Genomic DNA, 23,174 nt, shown 5'->3' with positions numbered 1-23,174 from the left:
TATTGCCCTTATTTTTTTCATTTCTCTACAGATTCATGAAACCCCCCATGGCAAGGCATAATGTACCCAAAATATGAAAGATCAGTACATATAGTTACCCACAACTCAATAAAACATTTCTCGGGAATATCAATCTTCTTTTATGCCATCTTAGCATTTACTAGGCTTCCAAAATGGCCACTGTGCTTTGTTATACCAATTAGCTCTCTTTTTATTAATTAATACACAGATACTTGGATTCATATATTTCTCTCCTGTGAGTTTCAGTAGAGTGAGTTAATTTTCCCCAAATATTATCTAAGAATGAGCGGATAAGATTACATTTCTGGACCTACATACTGGAGATTTGGGTATTTTAGACCATGTGACTCTGGGAGGCAGAGTCAAAGATCAGCTCACAACAGTTCCTGCCATTATGAATACCAGTGTGATTAGCTCAAAAAGCTGACCCCAGAATTTCACATGGCGTTTCCCATGTTTTGAATGCTCTTCAAGAAAACCACCCGGTATCTCCTTGCTTCTGCCTGCTCCTGCATCCAGACTGCTTCCTCTTTCAGGATTTCTTTTAAACTTTTGTCATCTCGGCTTCTCCTTAATTCTTGCCTGGATCTGACCTTCTTCCTACCTGAACAATAGCTAAGCTTGAACAGACACTGTGAGGAACTCTCCTGACCACTTTGTTTTACTTCCATCTTCCAACTGCTATCAATATATTTGTGTCCAAAAAGAGCCTCCAGAACCTCATCAGTCATGTCCCTTACTATGACATGGTATATGACAGCCTGAAGCAGTTAGCTGGTCTCCCTTTATGATTTGATTTTATCGACAGCTTTTTAGGGATAACAGTGCCAGATCTGATTGTCAACAAGTTGCACCATTTCTAGCACATAAGAACCTGAGTGAGACAGCATTCATTCAGACTCCACTAATTCGTAACGAACTTTTGAAAATTAGAACCATATTGGACTTGAGTTTACCTCTGAACTATTTATATAAAGGGGGTCACTAAACAAATTAGCAGCATGAACAAAATTTAAAGAGCTTGATTAGCCATTTTGTTTCAAACATATTAACACATAAATTATATGCATTCCAAAGGATAGTCCGCATGAATCCAAATTTATCTATTCATTAAAAGAAGATTCCAATAGCACTTAAACTTAGAAATGTTTTTCTAGCAATTAGTTCAACTTACCACATATACTTGAAAATAATATAATTACATTGCATTTTTTGAAAGAAAGATCCTATAATTTAGATAATATTTTTCTCTAATTTAGATCAGGCTCCCTCCCATTTAAACTTAATTAGTTCAATCTTATGTCAGGGATATTTACACTCATTTACTCTACTGACATAACCCTCTCTCTGCCCTGATTCCTTTAAAGGTCAATCCCTGAACTGGAAAAACTCTATCTTCCCACGTTTTCATTTCTCTTACACCCTGCAGAGGAGTGAAATTAGCAGCGAGAGATGGACATGCCTAATCACCATAGTAGATTGTGGCTCTAAGTAGCTGCTGCAATGAACTATATCCGCTAGCTACGGTGTCCAAAATGCAGGCCAAATACATCTTTCCCTGAAGGGCTCTTCCATTATAGGTTAACATTATCTTTCATAATACTTGAAAACTTCGAAATGTATTCATTGCCTCCTTTGTGCTCCTAGAACTTTGGTTTTTTTCTATTGTAATGCTTAACTCTGTCCTTTTCTCTCACTGGCCGCATATTTCATTAACAGTTTCTTTCTCCATGCTTTTAATTTGTATTTTCCCCAACTTCACCCTTATGTCCTATTCAAAGGTCTTAAACTCAGGAAGCAATTAATAACTGTTTGTTGAATTGAATTAGATCATACAGTGAAACCATTCATGTTATAAATAAGGAAAGCCAGTGCCCACAAGGTTGAGTGTTCAATGTCATCCAGTTAGTGTCAGAGCCAAAAATCTAGTTCAGGTCTTTTGATTTCTCAGTCCACTGAAACACTACACTTTGTCAAACTACCTCGACTGTGAGAAGAGGTGAAATCTAGTGACCAAAAAATGCTGTATTGTTTCTGTTTTTAAAGTTGAGAATGCGAGACAATACTAACAAAATTACTCTGCAAAAAAATGTGTTAAAGTGTTCATTAAATTATAAAATAATATCACTGGAAAAGGCCTCCGAAATCAGAGACCAGTTTTACAAATGAGGAAAGTAAGCCCCAAAGACACGAAATTCCTTTCACATTATAATAAATTCCATCATGTTTTGTGTTAATCAGCCCTGATATGATGACTGTGCCTGTGCAACAGCCCATAATTGTTTTAGGAGGAGATACTGAAAATATGTTTTAATGAAGCAGTCAGGTACATGAGGACAGTCAGCCAAACCCTTATTCCCTCTGCTCTTGTCACCTCTGCTTGTTACCTGGATTTCTGGCTCGCTCAATATTTATTTATTTTTTCAACTGGAATAGAGCCATAGCTTCCACTAAGACAATAGTTCTTTGAAGCCAACAAATGTGAGGCCAGAGGGAAAGGAATTTGGAATCACACATTTTTAGCATTCAGAGATAATTCAAGATAGTTCAAGTACTTCCTAAGTGTAAACCACCAGGCAAATGCTTCTAGCTGCCACCATTATTCACCTACAAAAATATTTTATTGCTGAATCAAGTTGCATTGCCAAAATATTTTTGATACAAAGTTATTTATAAGCAGTGGGTTCTATCCAGATAGCCTTGATTTAACCAGGAATCCTAAATTTTAATATGAATATGTAGTAATTACAGAAAAATGACAATAGGTAGTTCATAAAAATACATTATATGACTATTCATTAACTCAAAAAACAGCAGAATGAGAGGAAATGGTTTTATGTTGCTATGATAAGGATTTAAATCATTTATGAAGAACTTCCTGACATATAACAGACTTGGTTAGCAAAATGGTTTTAGAATTTCCTTCTCTAAAGCTTTCAAATTAATATAACTTTCTTTTCAGACAGGGTAACACATTTCCGTTGTTGTCCTTGGCTTTTATGGGCTTGTTTGTTTGCTTTAATAGAGGACAGAATTTTATGACTTCTTGACATCCATCTATCATGAAACTTCAAAGAACAAATTCACAAGATAGACCTCAAAACTAACAATTTCAAAATAAGGCTTATTAAACGCTGAAACGTGACCAAAGGAATCTCTAAAATCGCCTTCATGGGAGAGATTTAAGATTCAATAAACAGCAGTTAGGTGTCACGAGACAGGGAAAGGAAAACTGAGGAAAAGGGTGGAAACGCTGCCTCTAGCCGGGGAAGGAAGAGCATATTATATCTATCTGCTCATCTTGCTGTTCTTTGCAGAGCCCTAGACTTCCCCTAAGCATCAATTTGGTCATGGAAAAACAATAGATACCCACCCATTTCCTTCAAGCATTATTTTCCAAGGTTTTACAGTATCTCAAGACATCATATATGAAAAATGCTGTATTATAAGAAAAGCATTATTACTAAATTATCCTTTTAATTTAAAGCTCTTTGCCTCAATTCCTGTTTGCTTTAGGGGTCTGCAATGAAAAACAAAAACTAAGGGTTATTGTGATATTAAGTGTTTCCTGAAACTAAAAAAGGACAAATTCAACACTTCATCAGGTATTGCCTTGTATTGTCTTCTAACTGTTTCTTGTGCGTAAATCTTGCTCTTCCTGTAAGACTCTGAACCTCTCCAGGATGAAGATGTTGATTTATATTTATTTCATATTGTCTGAAAGTCTAAGTCTGTGCTGAGCATATAGCAATTCACTTAAGGCAGTTGATTAACTTATGTGTAAGAAAGGCCAAGGCACTCCCATATATTTCCCTAAGGTACGCCACACAGTACTGAGTGAATGAACAGGGCAGATAGAGACAGCAGAAGAGGCATTAATTTTTACTATGGCATATGCAATACAAGATATCAACATATTTTTGAAAAGAAATAAAGTCACACCTTCAAAGCCATGAGGCTGAACTAAATAGTTATATTAGTAAGGGTTTTTATTTAATTTATGTATTTAACACATGTGCTGCTTACCTGTTCCAGGCACTGGTCCAAATATTTCACAAATATTAACTCATTTAATCTCTGTAACAACCCATAATAGTAAGAATTATCATTATCCTCATTTTATAATAAGAACCTGGGGCCTACAAAGGAAAAGCAATTTGTCCAAGGTCATACAACCTTGCTGGAATCAGAAACTGGGAAATCTGGTTTGAGAGTCCATGCTCTTAACTGTTACTCTGTTGACCAAGGGCAATGAGAAAAGGTGGCGGGAGAGAGAGGTAAGGGGACAAGAGTGAGAGAGCAGGAAGAGCTGCCATCTTCAATCATTAAGTCAATGGTTTCTATTTCTGTGTCGACAGTCAGCTTTTGACATCTCCTTAAAAAAAAAAAAAAAAAAAGAAATACGGGGAAAAGAAGGTAAGAATCAACAGGGCACACAACTAATTATTTGAAGGGCAGCATTTGGAAGGGGCCCATATCACTTTTCACATCTATTGAACAGAAGTCAGTAAAACGTCCACACCCAGCTCAAAGAAAGGTTGGGAAGTGTTGTCTTTAGCTGGATGCCCATGTGCCCAACTAAAACTATATCACCATGTTAAAAACGACAAATTGCTACAGAAGAAAGCCCTTTCCTCTCATCCAGATTCCTGCAACATATCTCTGCTTAAATGGTCCTGGTTCAAAGAGGACTTCCTTGACCACCCTAAGATAGCATCCTCATCACTCTCAGGCCGCTTAGTCTGCTTTAGTTTTCTTCCTAGTGTTTATCATTATCTGATATTACATTGTGTTTTATTTATTATCTGTTTCCAATCTCACACCCCTCCCCCTGCCAAAAATATATGCTCCATAAGAACAGGGGCTTTGTCTCTTGTTCACTGCTGTATTCCTAGCACTTAATATTTACTCAATAATATTTGTTAAATGAATGACTTATGAAGGAACAATGTTCTAATGTGTCTTCCTACCTGTGTTCTTGACAAAAACAAAAAAAAAAGTAAAAAAGAGTTAACTGGCACCAGAGCACCAGAATTCTTCTTAGAAAGGGAGAAAACTTTCTTTTATGATAATAATAACATATCTTCTTGGGGTAGAACATAAAACCTAATGTCCAGTGTTTGAGTAATATTTCTTTTCATGATACAGAGAGTGGATGGAGGTAAGGAGAAAACAGAAGAAAGAAAACTAGGAGGAGAAAAACCAGCAAGATGTCAGAAATCTTCCTAACTGTGACTCTAAAACTTCATTAACATCTACTCCACTTAGAAATACTTTATGTGAGTGGATTGTATGATACTTAAAGAAGGGGTTGGAGTTTACAACCGGGCAGTTATGGAGAAGTACAGATATGGCACATAGAGAAACACTTATTTAAACCCAAGAGCCAGAGAAGGCCTTGAGAATGTAAGCTCCTCTAGAGTTTTCTAAAATCTTGGAGTTCCTAAATGACAGCACATGGGAAGTGGGTAAAATTTACCTTATATGTAAACACTATACATTATTTATGCTTCATCACTCATTTATGTAGGATTTCCTTATACATTTCTCTACTTCTTACTGACATCATTGATACACAAGGACTTTGGTTGGAAGAGATTCGAATCATATAATCATGTGCTTTTCATCATTAATATTTCTAGTGAAAGTAAACACTTGATTCCTCTTCACTGCCGTAGAAAAAGATAAGGCAAGACGTTCAGGCATTCTGCAAACTGCACCCTCACTTTCTATCCACACCCACTGCAGGATTCAATGACTCGATATAGAGTTCGCCCAGATAGGGTCAGATGATCTTTCAACTCCACCTTCCTTTCTGCATAATGCATTTTATCCTGGTAATATGCTTTTTTCCTACCACCTTTTGGTATTAAACCCAGTGTTAAGTTTTTCTTAAGGTGAGAATAATCACACAAAGTCCTTTATTTTGCTTTATAACACTACCTTAGCAGTTAAGTTTTGGAAACAGTAGTATGCATAAAACATATTAGATAGAGGGGTTCTAGGAACAAACCTAGACTATTAACAATAATTATTTTAGAATTACACTGTCATTGCAAACTACAGTTCCCAGTTATCTACTGTTGCATTAAAAAATCACCCCAAAACTCGATGACATAAAACACGTGGATGTGTCATCACATGGTTTTTCTTTCTTTCCATATGGTGAATATACAACCCTAGGACTGCCTCCTGTTCAAGAGGAAACCCACCCTTTGAAAGGCTTTCAAACTCCAACATAGAGGACAGGGGAAAATATATATGGAGTAGCCTGCTTAGCTTTCTTTGTTTCTTTAGCCACTGGGGCAAAGGGCTTTCTTTTCTGTGGGATCCTCATTCCAGGTCTCCTATTGCTGTCAGACCAAGAGTGCCCAGATTACTTTATGGACCTACATGGAAAAGGTCAACAAAAGAGACCACTGAGCTGCCTCTGGTCTAGGAATTATGGGCTAGTGGTTCAGAATAGGAAACCACATAGAAATTGGGACCAATTCCTTAACTGATAATAAAGTAGGTATTTTCCTGGAATGACTTCTGTGCTTCTGTGACTTAAACCTCTGAGGTTAACTGGTGTTCGGGGGAGCTGGTGATCAGCTGGAGGATTCTGAGTCCTAACCATACCCTGTCATGACTAAAGCCTTCATGGTCCTAGACTCCAGCAGAGCTAATCATTCCCTCTCTGTGCCCACACCTGTACCTCTATCCCTAGGATTTGTCTACCTACCTATCCTCCTAAGGTGGGAGATTTTAAAGGGTAACAAATACACACCATTCATCTTTGCATCCCCAGTGCCTAGCACTTATTTCCCACCAGCCAAGTGACCCATCTCTACATCTTATTGCTGTACAGATTCTTCTTAAACACATCACCTTCACGTGTTCAAAAACCTCCCCAGCCTGTCACTGTATCAAGTCTAAACTCCACTACCTAATTTCCAAGAAACTTCATAATATGTGGTAGGTAGAATTAATTATTTTAAGCATTTCTTTTAAGAACTGACCGCTGAAATTCACTGATTTCTCTCAGACAGAAAGAAGACTTAATTTAGGACAACTAAATGGTAAGTCTGGCTGCTCAGGGTAGTCTATTACTTAGTTTCAGGCCATCTTGTATGTTCCCATTACATAGCTCCTTCTAGCTCCCCTGATTGTAAGGTTGTCCAACAAAACAAATTGCATCACAGCATGAAACTATTCACTAATGAACTGATCACTTTTAAATATAATTTTTAAAGGATATATGCCAAATTCATTAAAATGATTACCTGACAAGAGAGGGAAGGGAATAAAATGGAAATGGTGATCAAAAGGGGCTCCACTTTATCTGTGATAGCCTTTTAAAAGAACAATCTATTCACGTGGTGATTGTTTTCAAAGGTGACTACAACAGTCTCTCCCAAGCGGCTCACCCTTTTGTCATGGGACATTACTGCTTCTCTCTCTTAAAGAGGTGGAGTCTATTTCCACCCCTTGAATCTGATCTTGGCCTGTGACCTACTTGGAACACAGAATGTAGAAGTGACAAGGGGAGAGTTCCAGAGATACCCTGCAGCCTTAAGACACCCTGCAGCTTTGCTTCTACTCTCTTAGAACCCTGAAGTACCATGTAAAAAAAGTTTGACTTCCCTACTAGAGAGATCAGATGGAGAGGCCCCAGAGGCTGAAAAATGGAAAAGAGAGAAATCCCAATATCCTAGTTGCCCCAGCTGAGGAGGCAGACACGTGAATGAGTCCATCTCAGATTCCTCAGCTCAAACTACAGATGAATGCATATGCCTAGCAGAAATAATCCATTCTAGTTGAGCCCTGACTAGCCAACCACAGAATCATGAGTAAATAAAACGTTATTTTAAGCCACTGAGTTTCATGCTGGTATGTTACACAGCAATAGATGACTGATATTACTTGTGTTATTCAAAATATATATTTTAAAAATAAATAAGCCCACACGCAAACCTTTCTTTCTATTTAACAACTAGCCTCTTTCCTTTTACCACCTCACACCCCATCTCTTTAATGTCTCTATTCATCTAGCTGATTATACAATATCCAACAATGCAATGCAAAATCAGCGCAAATCAATGCAAAATCAGGGTGAAGTGATTATAATGTGAAATCGCAAATTTTGCAAAATATGTAGGAAATCATGAAGTTGATGAAGGTAATGTTAGAGAAGCCCTTGAATCATGGGCAACTCCTCTGACAAATGAGAATCTGCAGCTGGAATAGTTAACATTAACATTTGAAGAAGAACAAATCTACATGGATGATGGCACAATAAGTGCTTCAAAAAGAAATGATTTGAATGTCAAAATTTAAGAGAGGCTCTTGGAAAATTGATGAAGCCCTCAAATATTTTTGAAATAGTGACACTCTATGATTTGCCCACAAAAGTCAAATGTAAAAGGACGTCGTGTCATGATATCATATAATTTTGTTAGAAAATTATGCTTCTTAAAATCAACACTTGATTCATCCTTTATTCTAATATTTAACACATTTTTGACCAACTAAATTTTATTAAATATAAGGTAAATTAATTTTAATAATGTTCTTACTTTTTTAAAAGATAACATCTCAACCAAACCTTCTTTTCACCTTTTTTGGTCTCTATTTTTAAAGCATTTGCTTTAAGTGGGTTTTGGTGGCACCAATTATCTGAAGAAATTGAAGGCCTCTGTAAATATCTTTAGTTCATCTTCCTAACTGGCAGCTATACTCATTGAGAGCAGGGTCTCCGTCATGCTTTGCCAATGTCTTCTGGATAGTGCTTCATGCATATAGCAGAAGGCAGAGATTCAACCAACGTGATAACCAATGGCCTGCTGATTGATTGGCTTACATGTAGGTGTTACTATTGACGAATGGCATTGTTCCATTATCAATCCCTGACCTGGTATGAGCTGGCATTTGTTCGTCTCAAAATTGTTCATAGAAGGCCTATTACAAACTTCCTGCTGAAAGCACTTTCAAAGGCTGGATACGTTTAAAATCAACTCAAGCATGTAAAGCCATTTTAGGAAAATAAGCCCCACATCCCAAGGTTCAGCTGAGGAGGGCCACATTTGAGAACAGGTGTGCCACTTCACTGAGCAGGAATTTTAAAATGTCAAACATTAGAACCACTTGAGAAACTCCAACTCAGCCTGCCAACAGACACTTCTGGGCACGTGTCAATAAATGCCTTGCAGAGATGGGCATTTGAGAAAGTCTCTCCTCACCAACTCAAAGTTAGTTAAAACAAATCATCACGGTAGGTTCTTAAAAAGACCACATTTTATTTTTCCTCAGTCTCACTTCTTGAAAAAAACAATCATTTTTTTAAATGTGGTCATTCAAAAAGTTTCCATATATTACATAACAGTCATAACAGCAGTATTACTTTTTTTAAATATCCCTGAAGTTCAATCTCTTTTAACTTATTTTGTATCTGCAACTGCAAGAGTAATAAGAACTGAGCTGTTTTCCTTATCATTATCAGAGTTAGTCCCATTCCTTTGCAAATGAGAAACTAATAATACAAACTTGGCTGCAGTACCCTTTAAACTCTATGCCTCCCAGTAGGACACCCGGTGTTCTGCAACCCATCAGTCAGTTCTAGGGCAAATGCAAACAATACTTTCCGTTACAATAACTTGTATCCAGGAAAAAGAAACAGGCACCCTGTTGCATCTGCAGCATAGCAGCCAGAGAAAAGTTTACCAGCTTTAGCCAATTGGAAGCTGTGGAGCTGGGCCAAGTTAGCATGTTTTTCTCCGCCTCTAGATGAAGTCATGATTGAAATATGACATTGAAAGGGAAGGGGAACAGGAAAGAAAAGCTAAACCTGCAACAAAGTGTCCTGTGCCCAGAACGCGGTTAGGAAGTGTGTGCATACGTCTGAACCCTAAATGGTTCTCAGTTCTGTAAACTTCTCCTCCCACTGGGTGGAGTAGGGCCTTTAAGAGCAGCTGGAATGCAGTTCCCCTGATCAGCGTAGCCAGTTGTTGCCTGTCTGAACCTCTGCCAGTCCTGGAGACTGGTGCCCTGAGCTCCAACCAGCGGGCCTCATCCTACACCCTCACCACCGCAACTTCTCACCCGAGCAAGAAGCAGCTCCCAGAGAGAAAGAACGTTCCCACCTGCCTAGCCATGGGAGAGGACGCTGCACAGGCCGAAAAGTTCCAGCACCCTGGGTCTGACATGCGGCAGGAAAAGCCCTCGAGCCCCAGCCCGATGCCTTCCTCCACACCAAGCCCCAGCCTGAACCTAGGGAACACAGAGGAGGCCATCCGGGACAACTCACAGGTGAACGCAGTCACGGTGCTCACGCTCCTGGACAAGCTGGTGAACATGCTAGACGCTGTGCAGGAGAACCAGCACAAGATGGAGCAGCGACAGATCAGTTTGGAGGGCTCCGTGAAGGGCATCCAGAATGACCTCACCAAGCTCTCCAAGTACCAGGCCTCCACCAGCAACACGGTGAGCAAGCTGCTGGAGAAGTCCCGCAAGGTCAGCGCCCACACGCGCGCGGTCAAAGAGCGCATGGATAGGCAGTGCGCACAGGTGAAGCGGCTGGAGAACAACCACGCCCAGCTCCTCCGACGCAACCATTTCAAAGTGCTCATCTTCCAGGTCAGTTCCCCCTATGCCTCCTTACAGGCGGGCTGGAACTCCTTATCATTCTTGATCTCGCTCATCCTGGCTCTCACAGCCATTTTTACATTTGTCCTGCCTGTCAGGGATCACACATACAAGGCACTGTCCCCTGTCTGCCTGCGGAAAGCAAATGTGAAATCTTCACACAGGGGTGGGAATTTCCCAGGTCACTACAGACTAATCCAAAGAAGATGTCCCCGGGCTTAGTAGGCCCCGGGTCATTTGTCAGGGAGCACCTGGATGCACTCTGTACAGGTTGGGAAGATGTGCAGGTGCGTGCACCCTAGTCAAATTCATTTGTCTCTTTGCATTAGGAGCTTAGGGCTCTGGCTGCAGCTGTTAGCTGGACAGGGCAAATTAATTCAGTGGCTGTTCATTAACTCTTAGTGGAAATGAAGTGATCATGTGAGGTATTTTGTGGTTTTTTTAACCAAAAAGTCAAACTATCCCTTTATACAAAGGCTATCAACGTTTTGGGGACCAATCAAATAGAGGATTGATTCCATTAGAGTTAGCCTTGTTCTTTTAAGACTTTTTTGGGGCAAAGCAATCTTGTGGAGTTCTTTTCTAGCAAATGCACTAGAAAAAGAGAGTACAAACACACTAGACGTGCCTCTCCTTGTTCAGAGAGACCACAACTGTTAAGTAAAATAAAAGGAGTGTTATCAGTTATAGTCACAAAGGCTAGTCTTAAATGTTTCTCCTTCAAACGGTTGCCTTAGAATAAAAAGGCCACTTAATTTTTTTTAATGCATCAATGATGCAATTAATGTAGCAAGAGGCTATCTGGGGACAGGGAGATTGCGTGGGGCTCTTGTTCCGCCAAGTGGTGGGCATTTGTGAATCCCAGGGCAGCCCTGCCTAATGCTGGAAGCCCTTCCGCCCAGTGGAATCCAGCCAGCACAGAGCCCAGGAAGCGATTGCCATCCTCGCTCCAGGGCTGTCTCGTTGTGACCATATGAATAGGAGAGGATTTCAAAGCCATGGAGGGGAGAGGCTATAACCAACAGTTTGATTGTGAAAGGCACACAGGGAAAGCCTTCATCTCCCAAGAGAGATTTAGAAATTGGGATTTAAACCGAGGGAGTCTTCTTTTTCAAAATGAATCTGCTCTGCCAAGTTAGAAGCCTTCCTACCCCCATAAAAGGAAAGACTCATCTCGCTGCTTTTTTGTCCTCCTCAAATTGCACTTGAATATTGTAAAGGTTTAGGGAGCCTATGTCCTCCTCTACCTTGCAGGCTTTTGCAGCTGAAAACTTTTCAGCTTTTAATGCAAATGCAGTAGCTTTTCATGCACCAGATGAATTGAAAAGAGATACTGTAACTGGGCCTTTCTTAAGCCATATGAGATCCTTACTTTATTAGCCTAAGAGATATTAGAAATCTCAGCTCTCAAGCCATTTCTAAATTAAATACTGATCTCCAAACAAAACCAAACATGTACAGACCTGTTTAAGTCTGAGACACCAAAGGAAATTTTCCTGCTTCCAGTATGAATCAGGCAAATTATCTCTTGTCCCATCCCTCAGTTAAGGAGGAGGAAAAAAGTATTTATCTTGTAGAGGAAAGTCACAATTCGTCAGGATTGGGTTTTGTTTTGTTTTGTCATGGATGTTCTGCAGATGTTGGGGGGAGGGATGGAGAGGATATGCTAGTAGAAATTCAGGAGAATTATAAATCTGACATTAAAAAAAAACTGCTTGGGAACTTAAAGGCATATGCTGTTGTGAGGGTCTGACATGGTCTCCTGTTTTGTCACATTGAATTGACAGGTGTGAAATTGCAGCCAGATATGGTAGAAATTCTCCATATAGTGAGTAAAAGCTGAAACAGGGGTGCTCAAGACCAAACTGGAAGCTAAGAATATCCACAGAAATGTGCTCGGACTCCATTCTGGGCCCTTTAGAAAACAATCCCCAAGGACACCTTTAAAGAGCATTTTAGGAGGCAGGAAACTAGAGGCAAGTGACTGGACCTTTCTTAAGCCGTGTAAGATCCTTTATTAGCCTAAAGGATATTAGAATTCTCAACTCTCAAGGCATCGCAAGATGATTGTTTTGTATAAAACTAATGCAAGCACAGTCCCTCAGTGGACTCTCTTGTTCCTTCTAAAAGTAGCAGTTTCCCCAGAGTAGTAATTATGCCAATGGATAAAATAATAATTTGTATTAGAGAGTGGTCCAGTATAGTAGTTCAGAAGATAAATTTTGGAGTCACACAAACAGTAGTTCAAATCCTAGTTCTACCACTTGCTAAATATGTGATATTGGACACAGTTTGTAGCTTCTCCAAACCTGTTTCCTCATCTATACACTGATGATATTAATAAGAGCAAAAAAAATCAAGCACTTAATAAACCCAGCATACATTGGTAAGCATCTTATCTCATTTATCCCGAATCTACAGATGAGGATGTTGAGATTCGAAAACGTTTATGGCTTGTCTGAAGCTAGTTAGTAAGCAAGTGGTGAAACTGGGATTCAAACTCATGTTTAATTGATTTCAAAGCACGTACTCTTGAACACTAATGCTTCTTCCCTCCTATCTCTCTCATAGAGTGAGGAATGAAAGAAATAACATTTAAAATAGTTAGCAAGGACTGGCATGGTATAAGTGCTCAATGAATAGAAGATATTACTGAGTGGATCTGAAATTCATTTGCTCAGAAAGAAGGCTACACTTTTGCTTGGTTAGAAATATGGTCCTTGGGTAAAAACTGACCTCACCTTGCCCAGGATCTTAAAACAGCTCCGCTACACACAGAGAACCATGTATTGTATAACTACCGCCATGTTGAAATCAACATTATATCTCATCTCCATGAAAGCAAAGGAATCTTCCCAAAAGACCTACTCAACGAACCCTCCAGTCACAGCATAATCTTCACAGTGGAGCATAAGGGGACTGCTTCCTAGACCTGTGGAGAATGTGGAGGGCAAATATGTACCAGGTGTTACTCAGTGTCTTTAGGTAATTTATCATTTTCAGCCCATCTGAACCCTATGCCAGACTTCCCCTTATTAAATCTACTGTTTCTAATTTAAGACAAAAAATTATGTAAAAATAAGAGAGCGAGAAAGGAAAATCTATCCCATGACCTGAGCATATTTGGTATGGTACTGTTGAGAAGAGTACATTTTCAGTTTGTGGAATCCTGTTGAGCCCGCCGAAATCTACAGGTCTGTTTTGGTTAGTGGTTGAAGATACTTACACATTTTTTTTCTTTTTTTTCTTTGAGACGGAGTCTCGCTCTGTTGCCAAGGCTGGAGTGCAATGGTGGAATCTCAGCTCACTACAAACTCCACCTCCTGGGTTCAATCAATTCTCCTGCCTCAGCCTCCCAAGTAGCTGGGATTACAGGCCCCTGCCACCACGCCCAGCTCATTTTTGTATTTTTAACAGAGACAGGGTTTCACCATGTTGGTCAGGCTGGTCTTGAACTCCTGACATCAGGTGATCCATCCGCCTCAGTCTCCCAAAGTGCTGGGATTATAGGCGTGAGCCACTATGCCTGGCCATAATTGCATTTTTTAAATTCCAAACTTTGTCCTTAATTTGTCCCACTCAAAACGTGACATTACTTCTTTAAGTCTGTACTGAGTGTTACAACATTGTTATAGCTGTTAAGCATCTAATTTCTTAGCAATTACTTTAAATTATAACCAGTAGTGTCTAAAACTGAAGAAACATTCATCTCTCTTTCAGCAATAAAATAAATCTTAAAATCCTAGTTAAATTCAGCAGTTTTCTCTTTTAAACTTTTTTGTAATAGCTTCAGATCAATATTTGAATTCAAAATACTGTGACATGACCCAGCATAAATAAAATAAGACTCATAGGCATTGCTGATCAAAAAGCAAATGCTAAAGAAAGACTGAGACTTTGCTTCTAAGCACAGCGATCATTTACTAAAAGAAAAAATAGAATTTGTACAGAAAATCAGTTACTCTACACTTATGAGGAAATTTTCTCTTTTGATTTAAGAGACTAGAATTTCACAGGTAACTGGCCCTGAGGATGCAGTAGCCTCTTACGTCCTCTTAGGTTCTAGTAATGATTATTTGAAAAAGCAGTTGGGAGATGATTTCAAATCCAGGGAGCAAAATGAGAGTACTCTTGGACAGCTTACACTTTCGTCCACATAAAATTGGGAAACTGGGTGAAAAAAGTAGAAAGGTTAGCTATTTGCAGTGGATACATTTCTGGAGAATGGAGCCTATAAATGTGTTCAAATCTTCATCCTTTGGGTTCCTTTGATAAGGTCAGAATTTTAGAGAGACGCTAAAAGTGTAACATCTTCAGACCATTTTTAAAAAGCCTGTACTTTATCCAAAGTCACTGCTTTGAAGACTGTTACATTAGTACAGACCTGGAAGAAATGAGGATATAGGTAATAAAAGACGCCTTCATATGACAACTCGCCATGTTTCTATCACGCTACAATGTTCCCATATGGGATATTAGTTTTGATGTGTTACTTATCCAGTGCCCTTTTACTTTATGAGATAAACAAAATATTAGTTCTTATTGTTATTATTTACATTTAGTGAATGTGAGCACTGTCCCAGGCACTTTAAGTGAATAACTGATTATTGCTGGTATTTTTTAGAAAGAATCATTGCATACTCTTATGTAAAAAAAAACTAGACTCCTTCAGATGCAGCCCTTCCAAGTAAATGCTGCCCCTTCCACTGCTTTGTAATCTATATCTATTTGAATTGAATGAATGAAAAATGTTCTCCAATGCAACTCAGGTCCTAGAGTTTTGATTCTTACATAAAACAAAACACATTTGGTATCAGTACACTATGGAATCAACTCTGTAATTTGTTAATTCTTTTTGTGGGGTTTATGTTAACATCACAGAATCAAACATGTTAGAGCTGGAAAGCACCTTAATAATTGTTCAGTTTAACTTCGTTTTGTGTCAAAGAAACAGAGGCCCTGAGAAACAGTGACTAGCAAGGTTTCATTTTATTATTAATAATAGAGATTATAGAATTGAATTGCAAAATGAGTAAAAACAAACACTATAATCCCACCTTGGTAAAGTTCATGTTTACTGGGTTTTCTACATCAGCTTTTAAATAATTCAGTGTGCTTTGGTTTTTTTGTTTGGTTTTGTTTTGTGTTTATTTGTAACAAAGAACACCTAACCAGTGTGTCTTAAAAAAGAATTGAACCCTTGATAACACTGAAAAATAATGAAACTTTTAAATCCTCCAGAATGTGAAAGACTGCTCAGGGATTATAACTAATGCATTTTATTCTTATGACTTGCTGATTCCACCGACAGCTGCCTTAGGGGTGCAGTTCTAATCAATGACTGTATCCACTTGGCAATCCATACCTCAGAAACACAAATCGGAGAAAACCATCAATGTGTAAAAGAGACCTATAAATCAGAATGTCAGGTGGGCACAGTTTCATTTTAGTAACTAGTATTTAGAGATTATTGGATAAAATATTCCATGGACACAAATTTATGGTCTTCATATCCCTCCAGGATTCTACTGCATCCCAGTGGGAATATGACATCCTTTGTTATTTTCTTCTGCCAACAGGAATGATGAGTTAGTGACAGGAAAGCAAACTGTTGTTTTTTCTCTCCTTATTCAAGCTTTTAAATGACTTACCATGATTTCCTTTCTAAGGAGAGTCATAGAGTCTTCTTTTCTGTTAAGGTGTGCATATCTAGGTATTTAGATATGTACACAGAAGATTTGCTTCCATGAGCTTCAAACCAAGAAGTGTCCAGCATGTTAGCAAGTTTGTCTGTGTTGATACAAATAGGACTATTAGTTCACTAGGATCGATATGAACAGCAAACAAGTTAAAGTACAAGGAGAAATGCTACTTTTTCAGTTCTTTCCATTCATTTTTATGCTGTGAGCATATCAGTCATATATGTTTGAAGTGTGCTGTTTTATTCCCCTTCCTTTGAAAAACTCCTAAGGGTTCTCGTGAAAGGTCAGAACCGGGAACACCTGCATCAGGGGAGCTGAGGACCTTTTTGAAAACAAAGGGTAAATAATCAGCTCTCTTGGGGCCTCTACTGGGCAGAACTACCAAAGGAAGCAGTGCAGCCCACAAGGGATTCCTAGTGCCATTTTCAGGAGCTACGAACCCTAAGTAGACCTAGAAGTAACTAGGGCAGGGAAGCAGTGACAGAATTGAGGATGTGTACTTGATCTTCTCTCTTGAAATCGTCATCAGTCTTGCAACCTGTAAGAGAAAGCAAATCAGAAACACTACAACAGGAGGCTGAAGGCAGAAGTGTCACCTTGCTTATAGGCATATGAAATATCAAGTGTTTCCACGAGGTGTGTGGGGGAGCTTGAGCACAGGGCACGTGTGCAGGTGAGATTAGGCACCTCAGGAGAGGGCAGTTATCCAGCATCCATTATCTTAAGTTTAGACTGAGTTTCCACCACCATAAGAGTTACTTCACTGTCAAACACCACTCACATGTTTTACTATAGAACAGAAATTTTGAAAAGTATCAGTATTTTTCTGCTTCCAAACAAACATTATGGAAAGGTAAGAGCTACATGTGCTTGGACATTCACAGATTTTTGTGTGAAAAGAAAGGGCTTACCTTCAGAGTAGATGCCATCAGAAGCCACAAAATAAACACTGTTCAATATACAGAACATTAAATCCTGTTTGTGTAATTAAAATGACAGCAGAAGCATAGCAGTTAGCCAAGAAGACATATCTCACTTGTTTCCAGTTGCATAAAGACACATCCAACTCATTCTGGATTATCTCTGTTCCTGCTGGGTTTATTTTTATAGCTGGCATCAAAAAAGCTCTCATATAATTTCCCTGGCATTTTACAAAAGAGTTCAATTGGGTTTCCTACCTTCCCCCAATACCCATTCATATACACAGTGTGTATCTACCACAGATCATATATGATTCACCTTATAATAACTTTCCTCAAAGCTGTCCTCAAAAGATACATGATAAAAGAATCGAAAGAGTCTAAAACTCAACAGCAACTATGCTTTTGTAATAATAAAATGTATATTTAAGGAAAAACTGTAATATTATTAGTTTAATTCCTTTAGAAGTTCAGTTAATATGCCTACCTTTTGTTGGGATTAAATAAAGGGAAGTTATACAACTTACTACCTTTGATTACCCTGAGAGATTATACTATGCAAAATGTACCTCTTCTCTGGTAGCCAAGGATTATTTTTACAGTTTTCTGCCTGAATTTCTGCTTTCCTCACTGAGGACTTTTAATGACATTTCACTGATCTCTTGGTTTCTTCCTTTCCTGTAAGCAACTCCTGTCAAACCTTCTCAACCCTCTTGTCAAACCCCAGAAGTAATTTTGCTTCTAGACTAAGCATCCAAGCCTTAGCTATTTCAGTTGTCTAACCCTCTTTTAGTAACACCCATCCACTGCAAAGAAAATCCTTCCTTAAAAATGGAGATCATTGTCCCCATTGGGACTTAGGTTCTCTTGATTTCCCAATGGCACCAGCAGTCAGCAAACTTCCTTCTAGACACAGAGCTGAACTTGTTCTTTTATAGTCCTCAAGCCTGCCCAAAAGAGGGGCAATCTCCATTCCAGCCACTCTCAGGGCGTTCTTAGAAAGCCACCTCACCCAACATGCACTCATTTAACAAGCAGCTGTTGAGCTCTAGGTGCTGGGACACAGCATGGACAAGAGACAAAAATCCCTGCCCTCATGGGGAGTACACTCCGGGGAACTAGAGGCAACCGCAACTTGAAACACGGGAAAGCAGTGCTTGTAAAAGGCCATGTTATAAATAACCTGTGGCAGTCCCATGCTCCTTTTATTTATTTTTTTACTTTGTCTTTTACTATGGCCTGGACACTTAACCATGACATTCAAAATGGCAGAGTGTGGAGAGAGTTTTGGGAAACACAATATATGATATCGTCACTCTAACGAGGAATTCTATTTAATTGGACTTTTCTGCTTTTTGCGTCGACACAAGACATTACCCTTTGTTTCTAACCAATTTATGGAAAGGACTCTGTATAGTGTGTATAAGGGGAGACACAGGGTTGTATTTTTCAAGGAATATCATAATTCTACCATTCAGTTGTTAACAAGGAGAGGGTTTTTTTAAGTTTCTGTATAATATCTAAACTTTATTTAGTCTTTGTATCAAATATAAAGTGACACTCTTAAAGCATGTTTTCATCTTTTCGGTCAATCAAAATTACAAAACAAGAAGGGAAGTTCTTGCCATTAACATAAACTTTGCATGACGTTTAAGTCCCAGGTAGACTTTAAAATCCACTAAATCCAGTTATTTTTCAAACTGAAAGTTTACTGAACAGCCTTAGATATAATCAGGCAATCCTGAGGCTCTGGTTGCAGGAGAGGTGGCAGGGGGGTCTGGAGCTTTGCCCCCCTCTGGCATTCCAGCAGAGCCCCTGGTACCCCTGGGAGTGCAGTATGAAAGCTGCTAATCTAGGTCAAATCTCTTGTTCATATCTGGAAGAAACTGAGACCCAAGGAGATTAAGTTATTTGCTGAAAGCTGTCCTGCTATTCAGTAGTACAGCAAAGACTGAGACTCAGGCCTCTGGCCACACATTCACTACTGTGCCATTTCTTTCAAAAAAGATGTGAAGACATCTTGCTGACTGGCTCTCCTTTTCCAGTATTCAAAGAAAAATATTTAAAAATCAAGAGTTCTTTAGCTGTGTAACCCGAGTCTGTCTGCATTCAAAACTCCCCAGTGAGCAATGTTGCAACACCATCCCCCTTCCACTCTAGAGTTGAGTGTTCAGGTGCTGCTCCTTGAGAGCCAAGAGGAGCCATCTTTGCCTGTGTGCCCGGCAGCTGGAGGAGAGTGCTGGCAACGGTGAAGGGGGCAGCTTTCTGTGCTTCTCTCCTCACTCTTCGCTGGAAGTGAGGGCCAAAGTATTCTTGCCCAAAGAAGCTCTGTGTAACACTAGAGAATTGATAAACTATGGCTGGCAGCATAATTTCCCCTCACTACTCTAAAAATAACCCTAAGATCTCACCTCCGCTTAGTAACTCCCCAAAGGATATTCTAAACCAGAAGGCTTCCTGAGTGCACCCCCAGGAAGCCTAGTCCTTGCTTCTCTCACTCTTAAACGATGTCCTCAGCAAAATTAGTGTGCACCTTTGAGCAGATACTAAGGCTGGCCCTACCTTTACTTCTGACTCCTAGTTGGAGAGGGAACCCAGTCAAGGCTTTATGTGTGTGTGTCTGGTACTTGAAGACTTCTCAGTTCTCACCCTTGCCCTATCTTTTATCTGCCAACTTGATCTTCAGGCTCTCCTGCAGTGGGATTTTGGCAGGCCCAAGCCCTCTGACCTCAAAAGAGGATAGGAGAGAGAGGGCCTCTGGGTTCACAGCACAGTAACGTTCTTTAGCTCTGTTATCTAGGCAGCTTCCTGGTCTATCTCAGTCACTGCCCACTTCCCCTCTGCCTGTCACTGATACAGTTTCTGCCGGTTGTCCTCCTGATATTCCCAACAGGCTGCCCTTGGCCTTATCCAGCCTAAATAGAATGACTTGACGAGTTTAGAATTAACTCTTCCTATTCTAGAAAACTCAAGCCACAAACATTTGTTTTTTTACCATCACCGTGTCTCCAAAACAGACACACGTATTACAGCAGCTCAGGACTATTTGTGAAATATGTTATTAACATGAAACCTACATTGTCCGTCTTTTCAGGAGGAAAATGAGATCCCTGCCAGCGTGTTTGTGAAACAGCCCGTTTCCGGTGCCGTGGAAGGGAAGGAGGAGCTTCCGGATGAAAACAAATCCCTGGAGGAAACCCTGCACACCGTGGACCTCTCCTCAGATGATGATTTGCCCCACGATGAGGAGGCCCTGGAAGACAGTGCCGAGGAAAAGGTGGAAGAAAGTAGGGCAGAGAAAATAAAAAGATCCAGCCTGAAGAAAGTGGATAGCCTCAAGAAAGCATTTTCTCGCCAGAACATCGAGAAAAAGATGAACAAGCTGGGGACAAAGATCGTATCTGTAGAGAGGAGAGAGAAGATTAAGAAATCTCTCACGTCAAATCACCAGAAAATATCCTCAGGAAAAAGCTCCCCCTTCAAGGTTTCTCCCCTCACTTTCGGGCGGAAGAAAGTCCGAGAGGGAGAAAGCCATGCAGAAAATGAGACCAAGTCAGAAGACCTGCCTAGCAGTGAGCAGATGCCAAATGACCAGGAAGAGGAGTCCTTTGCAGAGGGTCATTCCGAAGCGTCCCTCGCCAGCGCTCTGGTGGAAGGGGAAATTGCAGAGGAGGCTGCTGAGAAGGCGACCTCCAGGGGGAGTAACTCGGGGATGGACAGCAACATCGACTTGACTATTGTGGAAGATGAAGAGGAGGAGTCAGTGGCCCTGGAACAGGCACAGAAGGTACGCTATGAGGGTAGCTACGCGCTAACATCCGAGGAGGCGGAGCGCTCCGATGGGGACCCCGTGCAGCCCGCCGTGCTCCAGGTGCACCAGACCTCCTGAGCTTAGAGCCACCGTGCCATCCTGTGCTGTGCTCAAGCGGGCAGCCAGGGCTGAAGAACAAACTCTTGCACATCTCCAGCACGACTCACCCACTCCTGCGTTCCTGTCCAGGCAGTAATCATTGACCATATAGTCATAGTAAGACACACGAGACCAGGCTTTACCATGAAAGCGACCTGTCACGGACTCCACTTTTAATTTGCTCTTAGGTTCTATCTCTGTAGAATGTCTCCAAGATTGAAGAAGAAACTGAGCAGTTGAAAAATGCTAATCTCTTTGACTTAGTCAGAAAAAAACAGAGGATAATTAAGATACTAGTCATGAAAAGTGATTCATTCTTTTTTGTCATTCCATAAGCTTGCTGAATAGTGTACCGGTAATATATTGTATTTCCACCGTACTCTGTGAATCTAATTATTATTCTTTAAGTGTTGATATATAATATACATAAATATGTAAGCTAAACATATAACTATATGTTTTAAGAAGAAAACATCTACGAAAGGTAAAAAGAGATGATCAGTTGGTTGTTTACTTGCTAGAAACCATTGTTTTATTGCAAACGAAGGAAAAATGAAGAGATTATAAAAGTCAGCTAATGAAGTAAGATACGTAGTAAAGTCAGGACTATTCAAAAAGTAAGAAAGAAAATTTGGAAAATGAGAGAAACAGGAAACAAAGAATGCCGAAAAGAATGAAAACAGAGAAAAAATGTATGTGCTTGAAAGTAAAATACTTACAATAGTAGCTTAACTATTTCACTCTTTAAATAAAAATACTAAAGAAGTTCGTATATCCTGGAATAACATGTCATCTTCAAAATATTTTTATTTTCTAATATTTTTAATAATAAACATTTTATAGTGTTAAAGCTGTATTTTTCTTAATAAATAAAGGACATTACAAATATTTCTTTAAGGAAGTTCAAAAGGATGTTGTCTTGTTAACACTGGAACGAATATAAATCTTCAAAATACAATTAATATATACTGTTTTGTGGAAACTTAGCTCATACTATTCTTTAATGCTCTTCAAATTTAAACTAACCCTTACATTCCATGTGATGTGATGTAGGCTTATAAGATGCTAAAATCTATAGGTTTTGGAAGTGAAAGATTCTATTTTTTCTTTTTTTGTACATAATGGGAATTTCATTCCAGATTATATTTTATTTACATATTAATTTCACAGAATATTAATATTTCTTAACTTCTTAAAGCATGCTAGCGTTTTATGTATATGTACACATATATTCAGACAGGGTAATTTTATCTGCTGCCTAACATTGTACTAAAATATTGCTTTATCTGTTTTTAATTACAAAATGCTAATGATTTCTTAAATTATAGTTTAAAGACAATTGGCCCAGGAAGCAAATCCCCTGCCTTTAGTATGAACCACTATAAGTAACCTTACAAATAGAGTTAATCCAAGACAATATTAACAAACTGTGCTTTGTCTTTAATAAAAGGGATAGGATTAACAAACATATTGATGGCATAACCTATTCAGCTATGTCCTTATTTTTGCAATAATGTAACCTCAAATATTGGATTGTTGAACCAACAATGGCTGTGTTAAAGAAGATTAAATAAACCGAAAAATAAAAAGCATGAAACAATGTCAGTTTCTTTGGCAGAACAGTTTTAGAACAAGCAGAAAGAATTGATTTTTAAACTGTCCTCCAAACGTAGCAGTAATGTTGATTGTTTCAGTCTTGATTTCCCCTATTAACTCTGCTTCCCCCAACCGATCTCATTTAGAAATCTAAGTCTCATTTTTCAAGTTTAACTTTTTTGACATCACCTTGCCAGCCTTGGAGAGTATCTGAATTTACTGCAGCAGCTTGATGAGTTTGATAGTTACATCTGCATTTTTCTTGTATTATATCAGAACTTCTAATACTTTAAATAGTCCTGCAAACATGAATGTATTGACCTGTAAATTCAGTTTATTCATACAGATAATCCTTTGTCTTCTGCAGTGCCATAGAGTTGGTAGAAGACTTAATTTTACTCA

At 39.2% G+C, this 23,174-nt stretch overlaps 1 protein-coding gene and 1 long non-coding RNA gene across 2 annotated transcripts in view, besides 1 other annotated feature; one reads left to right on the top strand and one right to left on the bottom strand.

Annotated features, from left to right (window-relative positions):
* CAVIN2-AS1 (CAVIN2 and TMEFF2 antisense RNA 1) overlaps nucleotides 1-10,590 on the bottom strand; it is a 217,342-nt gene extending 206,752 nt beyond the window's left edge. The window contains exon 1 of the long non-coding RNA NR_187184.1: nucleotides 10,307-10,590. This is a non-coding gene — a long non-coding RNA (CAVIN2 and TMEFF2 antisense RNA 1). The remainder of the gene's footprint in view (nucleotides 1-10,306) is intronic.
* Nucleotides 9,777-10,285: an enhancer, noted in NCBI's record as "H3K4me1 hESC enhancer chr2:192711519-192712027 (GRCh37/hg19 assembly coordinates)". NCBI's record gives its function as "activates a minimal SCP1, AML or CMV promoter by ChIP-STARR-seq in primed H9 embryonic stem cells {active_cell/tissue: H9 hESC(primed)}" and the evidence as "EXISTENCE:reporter gene assay evidence [ECO:0000049][PMID:30033119]".
* On the top strand, nucleotides 9,990-22,768 carry CAVIN2 (caveolae associated protein 2). The gene is made up of 2 exons (NM_004657.6): nucleotides 9,990-10,635; nucleotides 20,361-22,768. The coding sequence occupies exons 1-2, from the start codon at nucleotides 10,153-10,155 to the stop codon at nucleotides 21,153-21,155; spliced, it is 1,278 nt and encodes a 425-aa protein (NP_004648.1). The 5' UTR covers nucleotides 9,990-10,152; the 3' UTR covers nucleotides 21,156-22,768.
* The last annotated feature ends 406 nt before the right edge of the window (nucleotides 22,769-23,174 follow it).

The sequence above is a fragment of the Homo sapiens genome, chromosome 2, assembly GCF_000001405.40.
Source record: "Homo sapiens chromosome 2, GRCh38.p14 Primary Assembly".
Lineage (NCBI taxonomy): Eukaryota > Metazoa > Chordata > Mammalia > Primates > Hominidae > Homo > Homo sapiens.
Note: the sequence above shows the minus strand (reverse complement) of the source record. Positions and strands in the feature narration are given on the sequence as shown.